The sequence below is a fragment of the Homo sapiens genome, chromosome 10 (genome assembly GCF_000001405.40).
Source record: "Homo sapiens chromosome 10, GRCh38.p14 Primary Assembly".
NCBI classification, from domain to species: Eukaryota; Metazoa; Chordata; class Mammalia; order Primates; family Hominidae; genus Homo; species Homo sapiens.
In genome coordinates this window covers 122,013,612-122,032,119 of record NC_000010.11, presented here as the reverse complement: position 1 = coordinate 122,032,119, position 18,508 = coordinate 122,013,612, and the positions used below count along the sequence as shown (strand labels likewise).

Below are 18,508 nucleotides of genomic sequence, written 5' to 3'. Positions count from 1 at the left end.
CACATGGCTATCAGAGTGTCCCATATTCTGGGCACAGCAATTGACTTCAGAGAGGGTACATGACACAATCAGGGTCGCTCAGATTCCTTATGGGGTCTGATCAGAAGGCTGAGGCCAGGCACGGTGGCTCATGCCTGTAATCCCAGCACTTTGGGAGGCTGAGGTGGGAGGATCACCTGAGGTCAGGAATTCAAGACCAGCTTGGCCAACATAGTGAGACCGCATCTCTACTAAAAAAAGTACAAAAATTAGCCAGGTGTGGCGGCACACACCTGTAATCCCAGCTACTCGGGAGGCTGAGGCAGGAGAATCACCTGAACCTGGGAGGCGGTGGTTGCAGTGAGCCAAGATTGTGCCACTGCACTCCACGCTAGGTGACAGAGTGAGACTCTGTCTCGAAAAAGAAAAAGGAGGCTGGGCCAGGCGTGGTGGCTCACGCCTGTAATCCCAGCACTTTGGGAGGCCAAGGCGGGTGGATCACAAGGTCAGGAGATCGAGACCAACCTGGCTAACACGGTGAAACCCCATCTCTACTAAAAATGCAAAAATTAGCCGGGCGCAGTGGTGGGCGCCTATAGTCCCAGCTACTCGGGAGGCTGAGGCAGGAGAATGGCATGAACCCAGAAGGTGGAGGTTGCAGTGAGCCGAGATTGTGCCACTGCACTCCAGCCTGGGTGACAGAGCGAGACTCCATCTCAAAAAAAAAAAAAAAAAAAAAAAAAGAGGCTAGACCATTGGCCGGAAGAAGCATGGAAGGCTGGACCTGCCAAGGGCATCTTTTCCACCAGGCTGGGGGCACCTCCCTGGACACTGGGGAATCACAAAGGAAAGTAGAGCGCAATCCAGTGAGAGGGATCCCCAGAGCCATCTTTTGAATCTCTGGACTCAGCCACTATTGCAGCCAGACCCTCTCTGTGGGTGTCTCAATTCTATAAGCCAATGATCCCTTTCTCTGCTTATGGTCACCGAAGATGGGCTTCTGTCTCTTACAACCTTAAAAAAAGTTCTAATTAGCTGGAAATTTGGAAGGCTAAATGGCCAGGCCATTCATCAATTAATTAATTAAACATAGTGTGATTTATCAGATGGGGGGGTGGAAGTAGGTGGAGTCAGGGCTGACCCGCAGATTTCTGTCTTGGATGGCCAGGTAGATCATGGTACCCAAGAGGGGGATCACAGGAGGCTGAGCATTATGGAGGCAGAAGCTGAGTTTGGGTTGGAGGGACTCGCGGTGGCTCTGGGTCACCAGGTACAGATGGGTCTGGAGCCCCAATTCCCTGGGAGAGCCCTGAGTCCCACAGCCAGACACACCCATGCTTCATTCCTACTTGTTTCTCTACCAAAGGCAGACCTCGTCTGGTCCTGGAATCCTAAAGGCAACCCCACTTCTCCAACCTCAGCCAGACATGACCCAGACCTCTGCCAGACTGGGTCATGTCTGGCTGAGGTTGGAGAAGTGAAAACTTGCAGAGCTAGAAAAACATCTGCTCACTCAAGGAGAATGAAGACTGAGGAGGGGAGATGGAGTCAGGAGCTGGTAGGAGGTGAGAAATGAGGAACAGTTGGAGTGGGATGCGGGTATTGAACCCCCACACCAGCATTTTTACCTTCCTAACTAGTAAACATATGTAGCATTAGAACATCCGTCGCCTGCAAGGATGCAGTGACACAGGCTTTCATGCCCTGGTGAGAGAAGTCGACATCACTGTTCTGGAAGGCATTTTGACAATGTATACAGCAAGTGCCTTTTGAAAGTACTAACCCTTCGTTTGACACTGCAATTCCATTTCTATGAGTCTCTGCTAAGTAAACAGTGTACATTCAATTCTGGACAGTGGGATTTCGTGAAAGTAATGGGGAGAAAAATGTAACCCATTTTCAACGTTGCCTATATTCAGGTAGAAATTCATCTCAGGTTAAAGAAGTTTACCCACCTCCGCTAGGCATTCTGTTAAAGCAGTTAAGCCAAATGTTCTTGTATTCTAGGGTTTCTCAACCTCAGCGCTGTTGACATTTTGTGCTGGATAATTCTTTATTGTGGGGGACTGTTCTGTGCATTGTAGAATACTCTGCAGCAACACTGACCTCTACCTACCAGATGCCAGTGGCACCCCATCTCTGAGTTGTGACAACAAAAACTGTCCTGAGACATTGCTAAATGTCCCCTGAAGCACAAAATCACACACCTCCCACCCTCCCCACCCCCTGCCCACCGCTCTATCTTGTTTGCAGCCAGTAGTGGGGCCTGCAGGGAGCTTGAGGTCCAAAAGCATCCCTAAGACCCCAAAGAAGGGGTTGAACCTGAGCTGCTTGGTTTGTTAATGAGCAGGACTAAAGGCCAAAATATGCCTAGTGGCCCATACTGTGCACATTGAGGGCGCTCACCCGATAGCTATGCCCTTCTCAACTCTAAAACACAAGACAGAACATTCCTTTAAGTGGAAATTACTGGGAGGCGTGCCCGAAGCCAACCCCAGCCAGCAGGCACATTCGTTTGGCCCATAGAGTGCTTAAAAATAATTGAAATTAGTTGCCAACATTTTTTTAAAATGTAAGATTTCTTTACACAATCTCTTCTAGAAAACAGAACAGGAGCAAGCACTTCCCAACTCATTTTGTGAGGCTACTATTACCCTGATACAAAAACCAGACATAAAAGAAAACTACAGAGCAATATTTCTTACGAATTTAGATACAAAAGTCTTCAACAAAGTGTTAGCAAATTGAATCCAACAATGTGTAAAAATAATTATACCAGGCTGGTTCAACATTTGAAAATCAATCAGTGTAGTTCAATATATCAACAGGCCAAAGAAGAAAGATCATACAATTACATCGATTGATGCAGAGACGGCATCTGACAAAACCGAACACTCATTCATGATAAAAACCCACAGCAAACTAGGAATAGAGAACTTCCTCAACTTGATTACAAGCATTATGTTTAACAACAAAATTACAGCTAATATCTTACTTAACAGTGAAAGACTGAATGCTTTCCTCCTCAGACTAGGAACCAGGGAAAAATGTCCCCTCTCACCGCTCTTGTTTAACACAGGACTGAAAGTCCCAGCCACTGTAATAAAGAAGAAAGACGGGAAGGGAAGGGGAGGGGAGGGGAGGGGAGGGGAGGGGAGGGGAGGGGAGGGAAGGGAAGGGAAGGGAAGGGAAGGGAAGGGAAGGCGAGGGGAGGGAAGGGAAGGGAAGGGGAGGGGAGAGGAGGGGAGGGGAGCGGAGGGAAGGGAAGGGAAGGGGAGGGGAGAGGAGGGGAGGGGAGGGGAGCGGAGGGAAGGGAAGGGAACAGAAGGGGAGGGGAGAGGAGGGGAGGGGAGGGGAGCGGAGGCAAGGGAAGGGAACAGAAGGGGAAGGGAGGAGAGGGGAGGGGGAAGGAAGGAAGGAAGGAAGGGTATACAGGATGGGAAAAGAATAAATAAATAAAACAGCCCCTATTTGCAAATAACGTGATTACATACATAGAAAAATCCCAAGAAATCTACAAAAACAAACAAACTTCTTGGAACTAATAAGTGAGTTCAGCAAGGTCACAGGATACAAAATCAGCATGCAAAAATCAATACATTAATAATGAACACATGAATAGCAAATTTAAAAACATGACACCATTTACGGTCACTCCAAAGAAAACATAATACTTAGGTATAAACATCATAAAATATATGCTGGATCTATATGTTGAAGATTACAAAAAATGATAATGAAAAATAAAATAGGCTTGGTGTGGTGGCTCACGCCTGTAATCCCAACACTTTGGGAGGCCGAGACAGGCTGATCACCTGAGGTCAGGAGTTTGAGACCAGCCTGGCCAACATAGTGAAACTCTGTCTCTACTAAAAGTACAAAAATTAGCCGGGCATGGTGGCATGCACCTGTAATCCCAGCTATCCAGGAGGCTGAGGCAGGAGAATCGCTTGAACCCAGGAACTGGAGGTTGCAGTGAGCTGAGATATCACACCACTGCACTCCAGTCTGGGTGACAGAGTGAGACTCCATCTCAAAAAAAAAAAAAAAAAAAAAGAAAGAAAGAAAGAAAAAAGAAAAAAAGAAAAGAAAACAATGGGCCAGGCGCAGTGGCTCACGCCTGTAATCCTAGCACTTTGGGAGGCCGAGGAGGGCAGATCACAAGGTCAGGAGATCGAGACCAACCTGGCTAACACGGTGAAACCCCGTCTCTACTAAAAATACAAAAAATTAGCTGGGCATGGTGACAGGCGCCTGTAGTCCCAGCTACTCGGGAGGCTGAGGCAGGAGAATGGCGTGAACCTGGTAGGCGGAGCTTGCAGTGAGCCGAGATCACTCCATTGCACTCCAGCCTGGGCAACAGAGTGAGACTCTGTCAAAAAAAAAAAAAAATCCCAGAAAGTATTGTGTAGAGATGGATAGATTTATTCTAATATTAATAGGGAACGTCATAGGTGCAAGAACAGCAAAAACAATTTTAGAAAAGAATAAAATGAGAAGACTCACTGTACCTGATTTCAAGCCTTATTATATAGCCACAGTAATCAAGATAATCAATGGACAAGAATAGCAAACCCAGAAACAGAGCCACACAAATATGCCTAGCTGATTGCTGACAAAGGTGCAGAAACAGTTTAATGGAGGAAGAATACTCTAACAAATGTTGTTAGAAAGATGGACATTCGTAGGTTAAAAAAAAATACACAGACACAAAAATGAATCTCAACCTCAAGAGAATAAGAAGACAAGCCACAGGCAGGGAGAAATTATTCGCAAAAGGCACACTTTATCCAAAATATACAAGAAACTTGTAAAACTCAATAATAAGAAAACAAACAACCTAACTTTAAAATGGGCCAAAGACCTGAACGGACACCTCACCAAATGAGATATACAGATGGCAAATAAGTGTATGAAAAGATGTTCCACATCCTATGTCAACAGAGAAATGCAAATTAAAGCAACAAGATACCACTATATACCTATCAGAATGACCCAAAATCCAGAATACTGACACCACCAAATGCTGGGGAGGATATGGAACAGGAACTCCCATTCACAGCTGGTAGGGACGCAAAATGGTACAGCCACTTTGAAAGACAGTTTGGTGGTTTCTTACAAAACTGAACATACTCCTATATGATTCAGCAATCACGCTCGCTGGTATCTACCAAAAGGAGCTGAAAACAATGTCTGCACAAAAATCCGCACATAGATGTTTATAGTAGTTTTATTTATAATCACCAAAACTTGGAAGCAACCAAGATGTTATTCAGTAGATCAATAAACCGGTACATTCAGGCAATGGAAAATTATTCAGTGCTAAAAAGCAATGACAAAGCAATGAAAAAACATGCAGGAACCTTAAATGGACATTACTGAGTGAAAGAAGCCAATGTGAAAAGGCTACATACTGTAGGATCCAACCGTATGACATTCTGGAAAAGGCAAAAACCCTGTAGACAGTAAAAAGATTCATGGTTGCCAGGGATTGAGAGGTGTGGGAGGGATGAGTAGGTGGAGTCCAGAGGATTTTTAGGGCAGTGAAACTACCCTGCATGATACTATTCCTTTGTCCAAACCCAGAAAATGTGCAATACCTAAATCGTGTACCTCACACAAAAATTAATTCAAAATGAATCATGCACTCAAAAATAAAATGTAAAACTTCAAAACTTTTAGCCAAAAAAAAAAATAGCAGAAAATCTTCAGGATGTTGGTGTAGGCAGAGTTCTTAGGTTTGATACCAAAAGCAGCACCCCTAAGAGCAAAAACTGATCAACTGTACCTCATCACAATTATACTTTTTTTTTTTTTTTTTTTTTTTGAGACAGAGTCTCACTCTGTAGCCCAGGCTGGAGTGCAGCTCACTGCAAGCTCCGCCTCCCGGGTTCATGCTATTCTCCTGCCTCAGCCTCCCGAGTAGCTGGGAGTACAGATGCCCCCCACCATGCCCGGCTAATTTTTTTTTTTTTTTTGGATTTTTAGTAGAGACGGGGTTTCACCGTGTTAGCCAGGATGGTCTCCATCTCCTGACCTCATGATCCGCCTGCCTTGGCCTCCCAAAGTGCTGGGATTACAGGCGTGAGCCACTGCACCCAGCCTCAAAATTATACTCTTTTGCTCTGTAAAAGATGCTCTTAAGAGGACGAAAAGACATGTTACAGAATGGAAGAAAATATCTGCAAACTATGAGCTGACAAAGGATTAGTATCTAGACTATATAAAGAACTCTGAAAACTCTTTAAAAAATAATAATAATAATAGGCCGGGGTGCAGTGGCTTACGCCTGTAATCCCAGCACTTTGGGCAGCCGAGGCGGGTGGATCACGAGGTCAGGAGATTGAGAGCATCCTGGCTAACACAGTGAAACCCCATCTCTACTAAAAATACAAAAAATTAGCCAGGCATGGTGGCAGGCTCCTGTAGCTCCCAGCTACTTGGGAGACTGAGGCAGGAGAATGGCATGAACCTGGGAGGCGGAGGTTGCAGTGAGCCAAGATCGCACCACTGCACTCCAGCCTGGGCAACAGAGCAAGACTCCATCTCAAAAAAAAAAATAAAATAAATAAAAATAATAGGCCGGGTGCAGTGGCTCAAGCCTGTAATCTCAGCACTTTGAGAGGCTGAGGTGGGCGGATCACGAGGTCAGGAGTTCAAGACCAGCCTTCCCAACATAGTGAAACCTCGTCTCTACTAAAAATACAAAAAAATTAGCCAAGCATGGTGGCATGCGCGTGTAATCCCAACTACTCAGCAGGCTGAGGCAGGAGAATTGCTTGAACCTGGGAGGCAGAGGTTGCAGTGAGCCAAGATCATGTCATTGCACTCCAGCCCAGCTGACAGTGCAAGACTCTGTCTCAAAAAATATATATATGAATAATAATAATCTAGTTAGAAAATGGGCAAAAGGCATAAAGCAATTTTTCACCAAAGAGAATATGTAGATGGCAGATAAGCACATGAAATGTGTTCAACATCTTTATCCATCATCAAAATGTAAATGAAAACCACATGGAAATATTACAACACACCTATCAGAATAGCAACACCAAAAAGTGACACCACCAAATGACAGCCAGGGTCCAAAGACCAGATCCCTCATACGTTGCTGGTGGGAATGAAAAATGCTTTAGCAACTCTAGAAAAGTTTGTCAGCTCCATATCAAACTAAACATGCAACTATCATACAACCCAGCAACTGCACACTTGGGCGTTTATCTTAGGGAAATGAAAATGCGTGTTCTCAAAAAACACCTGCACACACATGTTCATGACAGCTTTATCTGTAAAAGACAAAAACTGGAAACAACCTAAATGAGCTTTAATGGATGAATGGTTCCACAAAATGTACAGTACATCTATTCCTGGAATACTATTCAGCAATAAAAAGGAATGAACTGTTGATACACACAGTACTTGGATAAATCTCAAGAGATTTATGCTGAGAGAGAAAAAAAGCCAATCCTTAAAGATCACTTACTGTGTGACTCCATTTATATAACGTTCTTGAAATGATAAAATTATAGAAATAGGGAACAATAGGGAATAGGAATAGTGGTTGCCAGGGGTTAGGGATGAGAGGAGAGAGAGGTGGGTGTGGCTACAGAAGGGCAACAAGAGTAATCCCCTGGTGACGGGCATGGTCTGTTATCTTGACTGTATCCGTGTCAGTATCCAGGTTGTGATATTGCATTATAGTTTGGCAAGATGTTACCCTTGAGGAAAACTAAGTAATGGTACATGGGACCTCTCTGTATTCTTTCTTTCTTTATGAGACAGGGTCTTGCTCTGTTGACCTGGCTGGAATGTAGTAGTGCAAACATGGCTCACTGCAGCCTTGACCTCCCAGGCTTAAGCAATCCTCCCACCTCAGCATCCTGAGTAGTGAGGGCTACAGGTGTGCACCACCACACCCAGCTAATTTTTTTCCTTGGTAGAGATGGGGTCTCCCTATGTTGCCCAGACTAATCTTCAACTCCAGGACTGAAGCTATCCTCCTGCCTCGGCCTCCCAAAGTGCTGGGATTAGAGGTATGAGCCGCCGTACTTGGGCTCTCTGCATTGTTTCTTTAAGCTGCATGTGAATCTACTAATATCTCAAAATAATAAGTTTAATTTAAAAACTTAACATTTCATAGAAAAATATGGGTTTCCAAGTTCTTTTGAACTCAGAACATTGGCACCACCTTCCCACAAGGCAATCACCCACTGGAGCTGATGGTGGCTTCCCTGTTTAAGACAGTAGGACAAGAACTCCCTGTTTGCCAGAGCACTTGCCTGTCCCTGTTGTCTCACACCCAGTCTTTTTTTTTCCCCCCCCTCAGGATTTCTTTTTTTTTTTTTTAATTATACTTTAAGTTCTAGGGTACATGTGCACAACGTGCAGGTTTGTTACATATGTATACATGTGCCATGTTGGTTTGCTGCACCCATTAACTTGTCATTTACATTAGGTATATCTCCTAATGCTATCCCTCCCCCTCCCCCAACCCCACGACAGGCCCCAGTGTGTGATGTTCCCCATCCTGTGTCCAAGTCTTCTCATCGTTCAATTCCCACCTATGAGTGAGAATATATGGTGTTTGGTTTTCTGTCCTTGCGATAGGTTGCTCAGAATGATGGTTTCCAGCTTCATCCATGTACCTACAAAGGATGTGAACTCATCCTTTTTTATGGCTGCATAGTATTCCATGGTCACACCCAGTCTTTTAACACAATTGTTGTTTCTGGCCTGCCCCTAAAGATGCTGGAGTTTGACAACTTTTCTTTTGACACTTTGTTTTCTTGCTTGAGAAAAGAAAATTGTAGAGGCCGGGCGCGGGGGCTCATGCCTGTAATCCCAGCAGTTTGGGAGGCCGAGAAGGGTGGATCACCTGAAGTCAGGAGTTCGATACCAGCCTGGCCAACATGGTGAAACCCTGCCTCTGCTAAAAATACAAAAATCAGCTGGGCATGGTGGCAGGCCCCTGTAATCCCAGCTACTCGGGAGGCTGAGGCAGGAGAACTGCTTGAACCCGGGGGGAGACGGAGATTGTGCCACTGCACTCCAGCGTGGGTGACAGAGAGAGACTCTGTCAAAAAAAAAAAATTGTAGGGAAGAAAAAGGCAGAGGGAAATGAATTACAGCATGTGGGTTTTTAGATCCAGTTTTCTCGTTCAAGGAACTCAATGTCATTAATCCAAATTTTCCAGTTTGTGTGAGATAAATGAGAAAGTGTCTTCCTGATTTTGTTCACCAACGCATTAAGTTAAAACTTTCAAACTTAAAATAGATAATGAAAAACTTGAATATGTTGTAATATCTCAGCCTATGCACAATTAAGCAGTTAAAGTCCATTCTTCAATTGTGAAAACCTTGTTTAACATGAGAATGACCACTCACATTTAATCTGCCCAACACTGATAGATTTCAAAATCATTTTTAATGGCCATAGCTTTATTTGGGGGAGCAGTGTGGAAAGGTTTTATTTTAACCTCTGCTAAATCCATGTAAGTTGATGGGTGGACACAACCTAGGAAAAATGTGCCAATCTCTCTTATGTCAGTTTTAGAAGACAGAATAAAAAGTAAGGCCAGGCCTGGTGGCTCATGCCTGTAATGGTGGCTCATACTTGTAATCCCAGCGCTTTGGGGAGTGAAAGAAGGAGAATTACTTGAGTCCGGGAGTTCAAGGCCAGCCTGGGCAACATAGCCAGACCCCATCTCTACAAAACCTAAACATTAAAAAATTAGCCAGGCGTGGTGGTGCATGCCTGTAGTCCCAGACACTTGGAAGGCTGTGTGGCAGGAGGATCGCTTTAGTCCAGGTGTTTGAGGCTGCAGTGAGCTATGATCATGCCACTGCATTCAAGCCTGGGTGACAGAGCAAGACCATGTCTTTAAAAATAATAATAAATAATAAGTAGAATTAGCGTTTCCGGCTTTAACTAGAGCTAGCCTTAATCGTAAGAGAATTCCAATGAAATGAAAAATGGCTGCATAGATCCATAAATGCCCGCACACATCTACGCAGAAGCTGTCTTGTTTGCTCCTTCCTGGGTGAAGATGAGACGCTGTAAAAAGAACCTAGTCAAGGTCTGCCAAGAGCACCACGTAGCTCGAGAGAGAAGCTTCCTGACACCCACCTGGTTGTCCGAGGTGCTGTTCTCATTGCCCATGTTGATTCAGTGTTCCCAGCGTCCCCAGAATTTTGTCAGAGGTGACTGGAAGAAACAAAAGGGTATAAACGTCTGTGAAATGAAAAAAGATCTGAGGTTTTTTCTGTCTGCTCATCTCCCCAAACTCAAAAGCCAGATGATGGGAAATGTTTATCTCTACGGTCACATCATGGAAAATTACTTTTGAAGGGTTTTCTTTCGTGATCTGCCACCCAGGTTTCTTTCCCAATACGGGCTGGTGTTTTCATTCCCCACCCCGGGGTTGGCAGACACTTCTGAAAAACGGGTTTGTTACTGAGACTCTGAGCTAGTGCCAGCGTACACATATACGTATATATACAAACGGAGTGACAAAAGGGGTCCGTTTGCCAAAGGGCCTGAGGAATGCTGCTTGTCAGATTATTTTCTGTTTCTAATTGTGTTCAGTTTGGAAATTCAGAGTGTGGCTGGTTTCCCACTGTTGGTGACGGCAGAGCTCGGTGTCAGACATCAGGAGGTGTGAAATCCACTGCTCTCCAACAACATATGGTTTTTATTTTTTTACTCTAAACACTTGTTTCATCAAATCAGTTTCACTTCTGCACACACTTTTTATCAAGGCAGAATGGCTTTCTTGCTAAGGAAAATGGGAGATTGGGACCAGACGAGATCATGTAAGGCAGCATACTGCCAGGTCAACTAGAATCATTTCATGAGCTCACTTAGTGACATGGTTTATTAATGATCTTTCTTCCCCCCCGCCTTTTTTTTTTCGAGATGGAGTCTCACTCTGTCGCCCAGGCTAGAGTGCAGTGGCACGATCTCGACTCACTGCAACTTCCACCTCCTGGGTTCAAGCAATTCTCTGCCTCAGCCTCCTGAGTAGCTGGGATTACAGACGCCCGCCACCACACCTGGCTAATTTTTGTATTTTTAGTAGAGACGGGGTTTCACCATCTTGGCCAGGCTGGTCTTGAACTCCTGACCTCGTAATCCACCCACCTTGGCCTCCCAAAGTGCTGGGATTACAGGCATGAGCCACCGCGCCCGGCCTATTAATGATCATCTTAATTAGGGTGCTTCCCACACAGTTCACAGAGAAGCCCAGTACACTTATTGACCTCATCCAACTGAATTCCATAAGACGCTGTAACATATTCAGGCCTAGAGGTGTTACCTTCACTTTTTCTAGTTAGAAAAACTAAATTACAGAAAATCCTTAAGAATCATAGACTTTTAGAGCTGGAGCCGTAGAGATGACCAGTCTAACCCAGTGGGGGAACTCAGGCTGGAAAAGGTAAGGAGCTTGCCAAAGACTCAGTTTGGGGAGGCCAAAAGTTGGAAATAAACCTCAAACTCCAGCCTTCTAATTGAAGATTTCTTCATGGAAATATGGTTTTCATCATAGCGTTTCCTCGGAGAGCTTAAAATTCACCCATTGACTTGCTTATTCATTTAAGCAACACTGATTGCGTAGCCACCCTGCACTATGCGTACTGAACCATCACTGGAAAATAAAATGGAAGTGGTTCAAACAGGCCCAATTAAAATGCCTCCAAACTAAGAAAACTGAGTGACGTCACCACAGCATTCAATTCTTTCACTCCTAACCCTTCAATCAAAAGGATATGATACCTTAATCCTTTCTTGCCTTTTGCTGTAGACACACACACACACACACACACACACAATCACATGCTCAGAGAACGTAAAAATCTGCATGCATTTAAAATTAATCACTTCCATTTATTTTTTATGTTCATTTGGAAGATGATCCCTCATTAGAAAATATTGAGTGTTAGAAGAATCACTGCCTTATCAGTTATTAACTTCCTTGTATCTTCCAGGTTGAATCATAAGGTTGAATGTAATATTAATTTGTGACAATCATTAACCAAATTAAATACAATAATCTTATTAAAAATCAAGGCATCTGAACTAGCTTTTTAAACAAACAGACTAAAGAGACCGGCAAAACTCCTGGTGAGGTGTAAATTGTAAAACCGCCGAGGGAAGCCTGGCTGCGTCTGGAATCCTCTTCTAGGGAACTCTGCAACCACCACCCTCTCCGGCTTTCCCAAGACAGAACCGAAGGTGCACACATCTCTGCCTCCTACTTACATTCGGGGGTGGTCTGGACTTGGAAGCTGCGGGCGCATGGAAATTCTGCCCTTCAGCAACTGGACTTTCTCCTCCTCCGTTCAGAATTGCGCGAGTTCTAAGCAGAGGCCCTGACACACCTCAAGCAGCGCGTCTCCGCCCTCGCACTGGTGCAAGCCAGCTGCACTTCATACCTGGGCAGGAGCCGTGCAGGGCCGTCGCAATTAGACAAGCGTTCCTGCCCACAGGGAATCAGCGTTTCCCAGCCCGTCAGTTTCAGGGCCTTTCACACAGGGATTTTCCCCGTTATTACATCAGCAGGGCTCCTTTCAGAAAAGGCTTATCCAAACTAAAGCGGCCCCTGCCATCTGATTGGCCGCACCTAGCAGCTCAGAACTGTCCTTTGCAAGGAGCCTTGCGCCAGGAACCTCTCACTTCTCTCTTGCCCTTTATGCAGTCGGGCCGGGAACAAACCTTTCTTTCTAAAAATAAGCCAACTGCTCCCAGGGCTTCCTGTTTGCACCTGGGCAAATTCCGCCGTAAATAATGTGGAAACGCACATACAAAAAGAAAAAACAAAAACTTGCAAAAATGTGATGACGCGGCAGTCTGGCACCTGTTTATGGAGTGTGCAGAATGTACTTACCCAGGCGTGGCTTGAGTTTCGGCAAGTGAGGTCATAAAAAGTAGCAGGCTTGCCCAGATCGCTGATAGGCAGACTTGCCGGCCCACCCTGGATGGAGGAGGCCCTGTGGACCTCCGGTGGGGCAGAGTACCGACCCAAAGACCCTCCGGCCCCGCAGCCTCCGGCTGTCCGCAGTTCCTCCAGTTATTACCACTCAGCCATCCTTTGCATGCATGCAACCAGTTTCTATTTTTGTGTAGGGCAGAGCCTTTCAGGCAAATGGAAGCGCCTTACCCCTGCCACAAGGTAGGACCACTCCATGGAAACAAATGAGCATTTATTTCATCAAAGGCTTCCCGGAGACCAGGCATCTTACCAAGCTCAGAGGACCCTTAGGAGCTCCTTGGAGGTGGTGGAGGAAGCTAGATGAGGAGGGGGAGCTCAGTGCCCCGCTTCTGGTTGGAACAGAGCAGAAGTGTGTATGTTTCAACAGACGAATGGATAAACAAAATGCCGTCTCTCCATACAATGGAATATTCTTCAGACATGAAAAGGAATGAAGTACTGACATGCTACAACGAGGAGGAACTCCAAAAGCCTCACCCGAAGTGAAAGAAGCCAGGCACAAAAGGTCATAGATTTTACGATCCCATTGATAGGAAATAGCCAGAGTTAAGCAAATTCATAGAGCCAGAAACCAGACTGGTTGTTGTCAGGGGCTGGGGGAAGGGGAAATATCGGCTTAATGGGCACAGGATTTTTTTTTAGGGTGATGAAAATGTTTTGGAACTAAATAGAAGTGGTGGTTTCACAGCATTGTGATATACTAAATGCCACTGAATTGCTCACTTTCAAATGTTTAATTTTATATAAGGTGAATTTCACCCGAAGTTTTACAAGTGTAAATGTTTCATATATGGGGTTTCTGCATAAGACATTGTTTGAAAAAAGAATTTGCAGCCCTAAAAAAGAATGAGTTCATGTCTTTTGCAGGGACATGGATGAAGCTGGAAGCCATCATCCTCAGCAAACTAACACAGGAACAGAAAACCAAACACCGCATGTTCTCACTCATAAGTGGCAGTTGAACATTGAGAACACATGGACACAGAGAGGGGAACAACATACACCAGGGCCTGTTGGGGGATGGGGGTGAGAAGCGGGAAGTTGGAGGATGGGTCAATAGATGCAGCAAACCACCATGGCACACATATACCTATGTAACAAACCTGCACGTTCTGCACATGTATCCTGTTTTTTTTTTTAGAAGAAATAAATAAATAAAACGAATGAGGTCTACTTTTACATTAAAAAAAAAAAAAGAATTCCACTACCAGGTTAAAAAAAATGTTTGGAGGGATGAGAGACAAGACTGTTTGCCTCTTCCCCCTCAAAAAAACCACAGAAGAATTTTTCTTTTTCTTTTTCTTTTCTTTGTCTTTTTTTTTTTTTTTTTTTTGAGACAGTTTCACTCTGTCACTCAGGCTGGATGAAGTGCAGTGGCGCGATCTCGGCTCACTGAAACCTCTGCCTCTAGGGTTCAAGCGATTCTCCTGCCTCAGCCTCCCTAGTAGCTGGGACTACAGGCACCCACCACCACGCCAGACTAACTTTTGTATTTTAAGCAGAGACCGGGTTTTGCCATGTTGGCCAGGTTGGTCTCCAACTCCTAGGCTCAAGCGATCCGCCTGCCTCAGCCTCCCAAAGTGCTGGGATTACAGGCATAAGCCACTATGCCTGGCCACAGAAGAATTTTTCTAAGAAGGAGAATCTTATTAGGCAAAATGTCTTGAATGAGCCAATTGGGAATGGCGGCAAGTCTTCAACAGGCGGCAAAACACAGGGAAAGCCCTGGCAAAGGAAGGAGAAGAACTAGGGGCTACTCCTGAGGACTGGCAGGGAGGGAGGGAGAGAAGATGGCTCACCAAAACGGCGGCGGCACAGGGGACTTCGCAGGCGACGCATGTGCAATCTTCCATCTGTGTGCGCTGCTGTGATGTAAAATCCAAAAAGCACCCTCCAGAAACCACTTTCCAGAAACCACCCTCCAGAAACTGTCAACTCTGCGGCCCACACGAATGCCTGGGGTGATTGGGGCTTCTGTGAGAGCGCGAATGCTCTGAGCAGAGAGGAGAGGCTGCTCTGGTCAGCTCCGGCTGCTGTAACACCACCACAGATTCGGTGGCTTCAGCAAGTTATTGTCTCATCTTCCTGGAGGCTGGACGTTCGAGATCAAGGTTTTGGCCGGGTTGGTGTCTTCTGAGTCTTCTCTTTTTGGCTTGTGGATGGCAGTCTTCTCCCCATGTCTTCACATGGTCTTCCCTCTTTGCCCGTCTATGTCCTAATCTCTTCTTCTAAGGACAACAGTCATGTTGGATTAGGCACCCCCATAGGGCTTCATTTTACCTTAATTACCTCTTGAAAGGTCTTATCTCCAAAGGCAATCACATTCTAAGGTACTAGGGTTAGGATTTCCACATATGAATTTCGTGGGGACACAAATTAAGCATCTTATAGAAGAAGAAACTTGGAGTCGGAAGAAGCTGGGGGAAATGTAAAGCTGAGGCATTTAGAGATGTCTTTGGGAAGGCAATGACACCCCACAGTGCTCAGAATGGGGCAGTTTAAACCAATCTTAACTAGAGCTTCAGACCACAGAGGTGAGAAAGGCCTCAGGTGTGCAGGGACTGACTTTTTTTTTTTTTTTTTTTAAGACAGAGTCTCATTCTGTCGTCCAGGCTGGAGTACAGTGGTGCAATCTCGGCTCACTGCAACCTCCATCTCCCGGGTTCAAGCAATTCTTCTGCCTCAGCCTCCCGAGGAGCTGGGACTACAGGAACGTGCCACCACACCCAGCTAATTTTCGTAGTTTTAGTAGAGACGGGGTTTCGCCATGTTGGCCAGGCTGATCTCGAACTCTTGACCTCGTGATCCACCTGCCTCGGCCTTCAAAAGTACTGGGATTATAGGCATGAGCCACCGCGCCTGGCTTTTTTTTTTTTTTCCTTTTTTTTTTCAGACAGGGTCTCACTCTGTCACCCAGGCTGGAGTGCAGTGGCACGATCATGGCTCACTGCAGACTTGATCTTCCGGGCTCAAGCGATCATCCCATCTCAGCCTCCCAACTAGCTGGGACTACAGGTGTGCACCACCATGCCTGGCTACTCTTAGTATTTTTTTGTAGAGATGAGGTTTCGCCATGTTGCCCAGGCTGGTCTCCAATTCCTGGGCTCAAGCAATCCACCTGCCTCAGCTTCCCAAAGTGCTAGGATTACATGTGTGAGCCACCATACCCCCACTGATTTTTCTAATTTTTTTTTTTTTAACATTTTGGGATCCTGGAATGTAAAGTGCAAAGCATTTAAACACTGAGGGCACAGAGGGAATGGCCTTGGAACAGAGAAGCTGTGATGAAGGAAGAGGAAAGGATGTTTGCTGGGAGGGGTGGATTTGGTTAAATCCTGCACCAGCGATCTCGGCTCACTGCAACCTCCCCCTCCCGGGTTCAAGTGATTCTCCTGCCTCAGCCTCCTGAGTAGCTGGGATTACAGGCATGCACCACCATGCCTGGCTAACTTTTGTATTTTTAGTAGAGATGGGTTTTCACCATGTTGGCCAGGCTGGTCTCAAAGTCCTGACTTCAGGTGATCCGCCCACCTCAACCTCCCAAAGTGCTAGGATTACAGGCATGAAACACTGTGCCCAGCCTAATTCACTTCTTATTAATGCATTTCATAAACATTGAGTTTTTTTGTTTCTTTATTTGTTTGTTTGAGATGGAGTCTCACTCTGTCACCTAGGCTGGAGTGCAGTGGCACGATCTGGGCTCACTGCAACCTCTGCTTCCTGGGTTCAAGTGATTCTCCTGCCTCAGCCTCCTGAGTAGCTGAGACTACAGGTGCGTGCCACCACTCCCAGCTAATTTTTGTATTTTTAGTAGAGACCGGGTTTCACCATGTTGGGCAGGCTGGTCTCGACCTCCTGACCTCAGGTGATCCCCCCACCTCGGCCTCCTAAAGTGCTGGGATTACAAGCATGAGCCACCGTGCCGGGCCAACATTGAGTTTTTGTTTTTGTTTTTTTAATGTGCCAAGCTCTGTTAGGTACTTATGTCCTCTTTCATACTTAGGGCAAAGCTATGAGATATGTTTTGTCCTTTTTTTTTTTTTTTATAGCAGATGAACTGCCAAAGCCTGTAAGTACCATAAGTGGTTTGGCCAAAGTCCACCAGAGAGCAGGAGGAAGGATGGAGATCCTGCATTCAATGAACAATATGACACTACCACCTTGAGAAGATTTTTGCAAAGAATTCAAAGATAACTTCCGCCTTTATCTCTTGTTTATTTAGTTTTATAACAGAGCATGGCTTTCTAGTTGTTGGCAACTAAAGCTGGTTTGGAAGGTACCATCTCATGTGATCCCTCTCTTTGATCAGGGAGGAGAGTGGAAGGTACAGGTTTGGGCCAGGTGACTAATCACTGTGGCTGAGGCAGCCTAGAAGAAATGGGTAGGCAGAACCATGGCCAAGATGACCAAGAGCATAACTGGGGACTTGGGCCCTATGGGCAGGTCTGCAAGAGAAGGGGAAATGGAAACATGAGAACCAACACAGCAGCAAGACTGCAGAAGCCACAGTGGGCAGAGCAGGTGGAAGACATTGCTAGGACTGTGAGGTCTAGGCCAGGCTGATGCCCCATTTTATACACTGAGCATGGGGTGGAGAGGGGCAGGGAGCTAAGGAATCGGAGACAAGATCACACAGGTCTTGGCCGGGTATGGTGGCTCATGCCTGTAATCCCAGCCCTTTAGGAGGCTGAGGCAGGTGGATCGCCTGAGGTCAGGAGTTCAACACCAGCCTGGCCAACATAGTGAAATGCCATCTCTACTAAAAATACAAAAAATTAGCTGGGCATGGTGGCAGGTGCCTGTAATCCCAGCTACTCTGGAGGCTGAGGCAGGAGAATCGCTTGAACTCGCTAGGCGGAGGTTGCAGTGAGCCAAGATCATGCCATTGCACTCCAGCCTGGAGCAAAACTCAAAAAAAAAAAAATTACACAGGTCTCATTTCATCAATGGTAAGATGAAGGCTTAGAGAGGTTTTGCAGCTTGCCCAAAGTCTTTACCCTATACTTCTCTGTTAGTACAGCCTAGTAATGATCTATTGGGATTTGTTGATATGTTAGACAATCGCATCATGTTTTCTATTAGAGTTTTTATTCTCTATTGAAAAAATTATCTTTTTTTTTGCAGCATGATAGAAATGTATCTGTTTTATAAGTTTAATAAATTCTGATTTTTCTCCTACATAGAATAATTTAGATTGTTAGTGCTGGAAGAAACTTGAAGACCACCCTCTCCAAAGCCTCTTTTTACAGATGAGGAAGCTGAGGCCTAGAGGTTGGAAATGATTTACCCAACATCCCACAGTCTTCCAGTTCCAAGGCTGGAACCAGAACTGGCTTCACACAGGCTTGCCTTCTCTCATCTCGACCAGGGCCCTACAGGCTCTGAATTGCTTCTCCAGACCAGACCAGCAAGCTCAGATCAGAACTGCGTTTTCTGCCATGGCATTGCTCCCCAGCCACAGAGGGCTCGGGCAGTCGGGTTCTGTGTCAGTGGAGGACATGGTCCAAGTTGTGTTTGCTCATCGAGGGGGAGCTCAGGTT

The 18,508-nt window shown here is 45.6% G+C and overlaps 1 protein-coding gene across 48 annotated transcripts in view, besides 3 other annotated features; it reads right to left on the bottom strand.

Moving 5' to 3' along the window:
• Nucleotides 1–18,508, bottom strand: part of TACC2 (transforming acidic coiled-coil containing protein 2) — a 265,380-nt gene that overhangs the window by 222,423 nt on the left and 24,449 nt on the right. For 39 of the 48 annotated variants that reach the window (NM_001291877.2, NM_206862.4, NM_001438366.1 and 36 more), the window contains exon 2: nt 10,106–10,183. In NM_001291877.2, the coding sequence (NP_001278806.2) occupies nt 10,106–10,138 (33 nt within the window). In that variant the 5' untranslated portion in view covers nt 10,139–10,183. Of the gene's footprint in view, nt 1–10,105; nt 10,184–12,238; nt 12,387–18,508 lie in introns of those variants that run through there. The other 9 variants (XM_024447757.2, XM_047424448.1, NM_001438365.1 and 6 more) reach the window with 1 other exon arrangement.
• Nucleotides 11,844–12,673: an enhancer, noted in NCBI's record as "NANOG-H3K27ac-H3K4me1 hESC enhancer chr10:123778962-123779791 (GRCh37/hg19 assembly coordinates)". NCBI's record gives its function as "activates a minimal SCP1, AML or CMV promoter by ChIP-STARR-seq in primed H9 embryonic stem cells {active_cell/tissue: H9 hESC(primed)}" and the evidence as "EXISTENCE:reporter gene assay evidence [ECO:0000049][PMID:30033119]".
• Nucleotides 11,844–13,446: a biological region, named in NCBI's record as "BRD4-independent group 4 enhancer GRCh37_chr10:123778189-123779388".
• Nucleotides 12,247–13,446: an enhancer, noted in NCBI's record as "BRD4-independent group 4 enhancer chr10:123778189-123779388 (GRCh37/hg19 assembly coordinates)". NCBI's record gives its function as "activates an origin of replication core promoter dependent on BRD2, P300/CBP, MED14 and CDK7 cofactors, and independent of BRD4, by STARR-seq in HCT116 cells {active_cell/tissue: HCT116}" and the evidence as "EXISTENCE:reporter gene assay evidence [ECO:0000049][PMID:35650434]".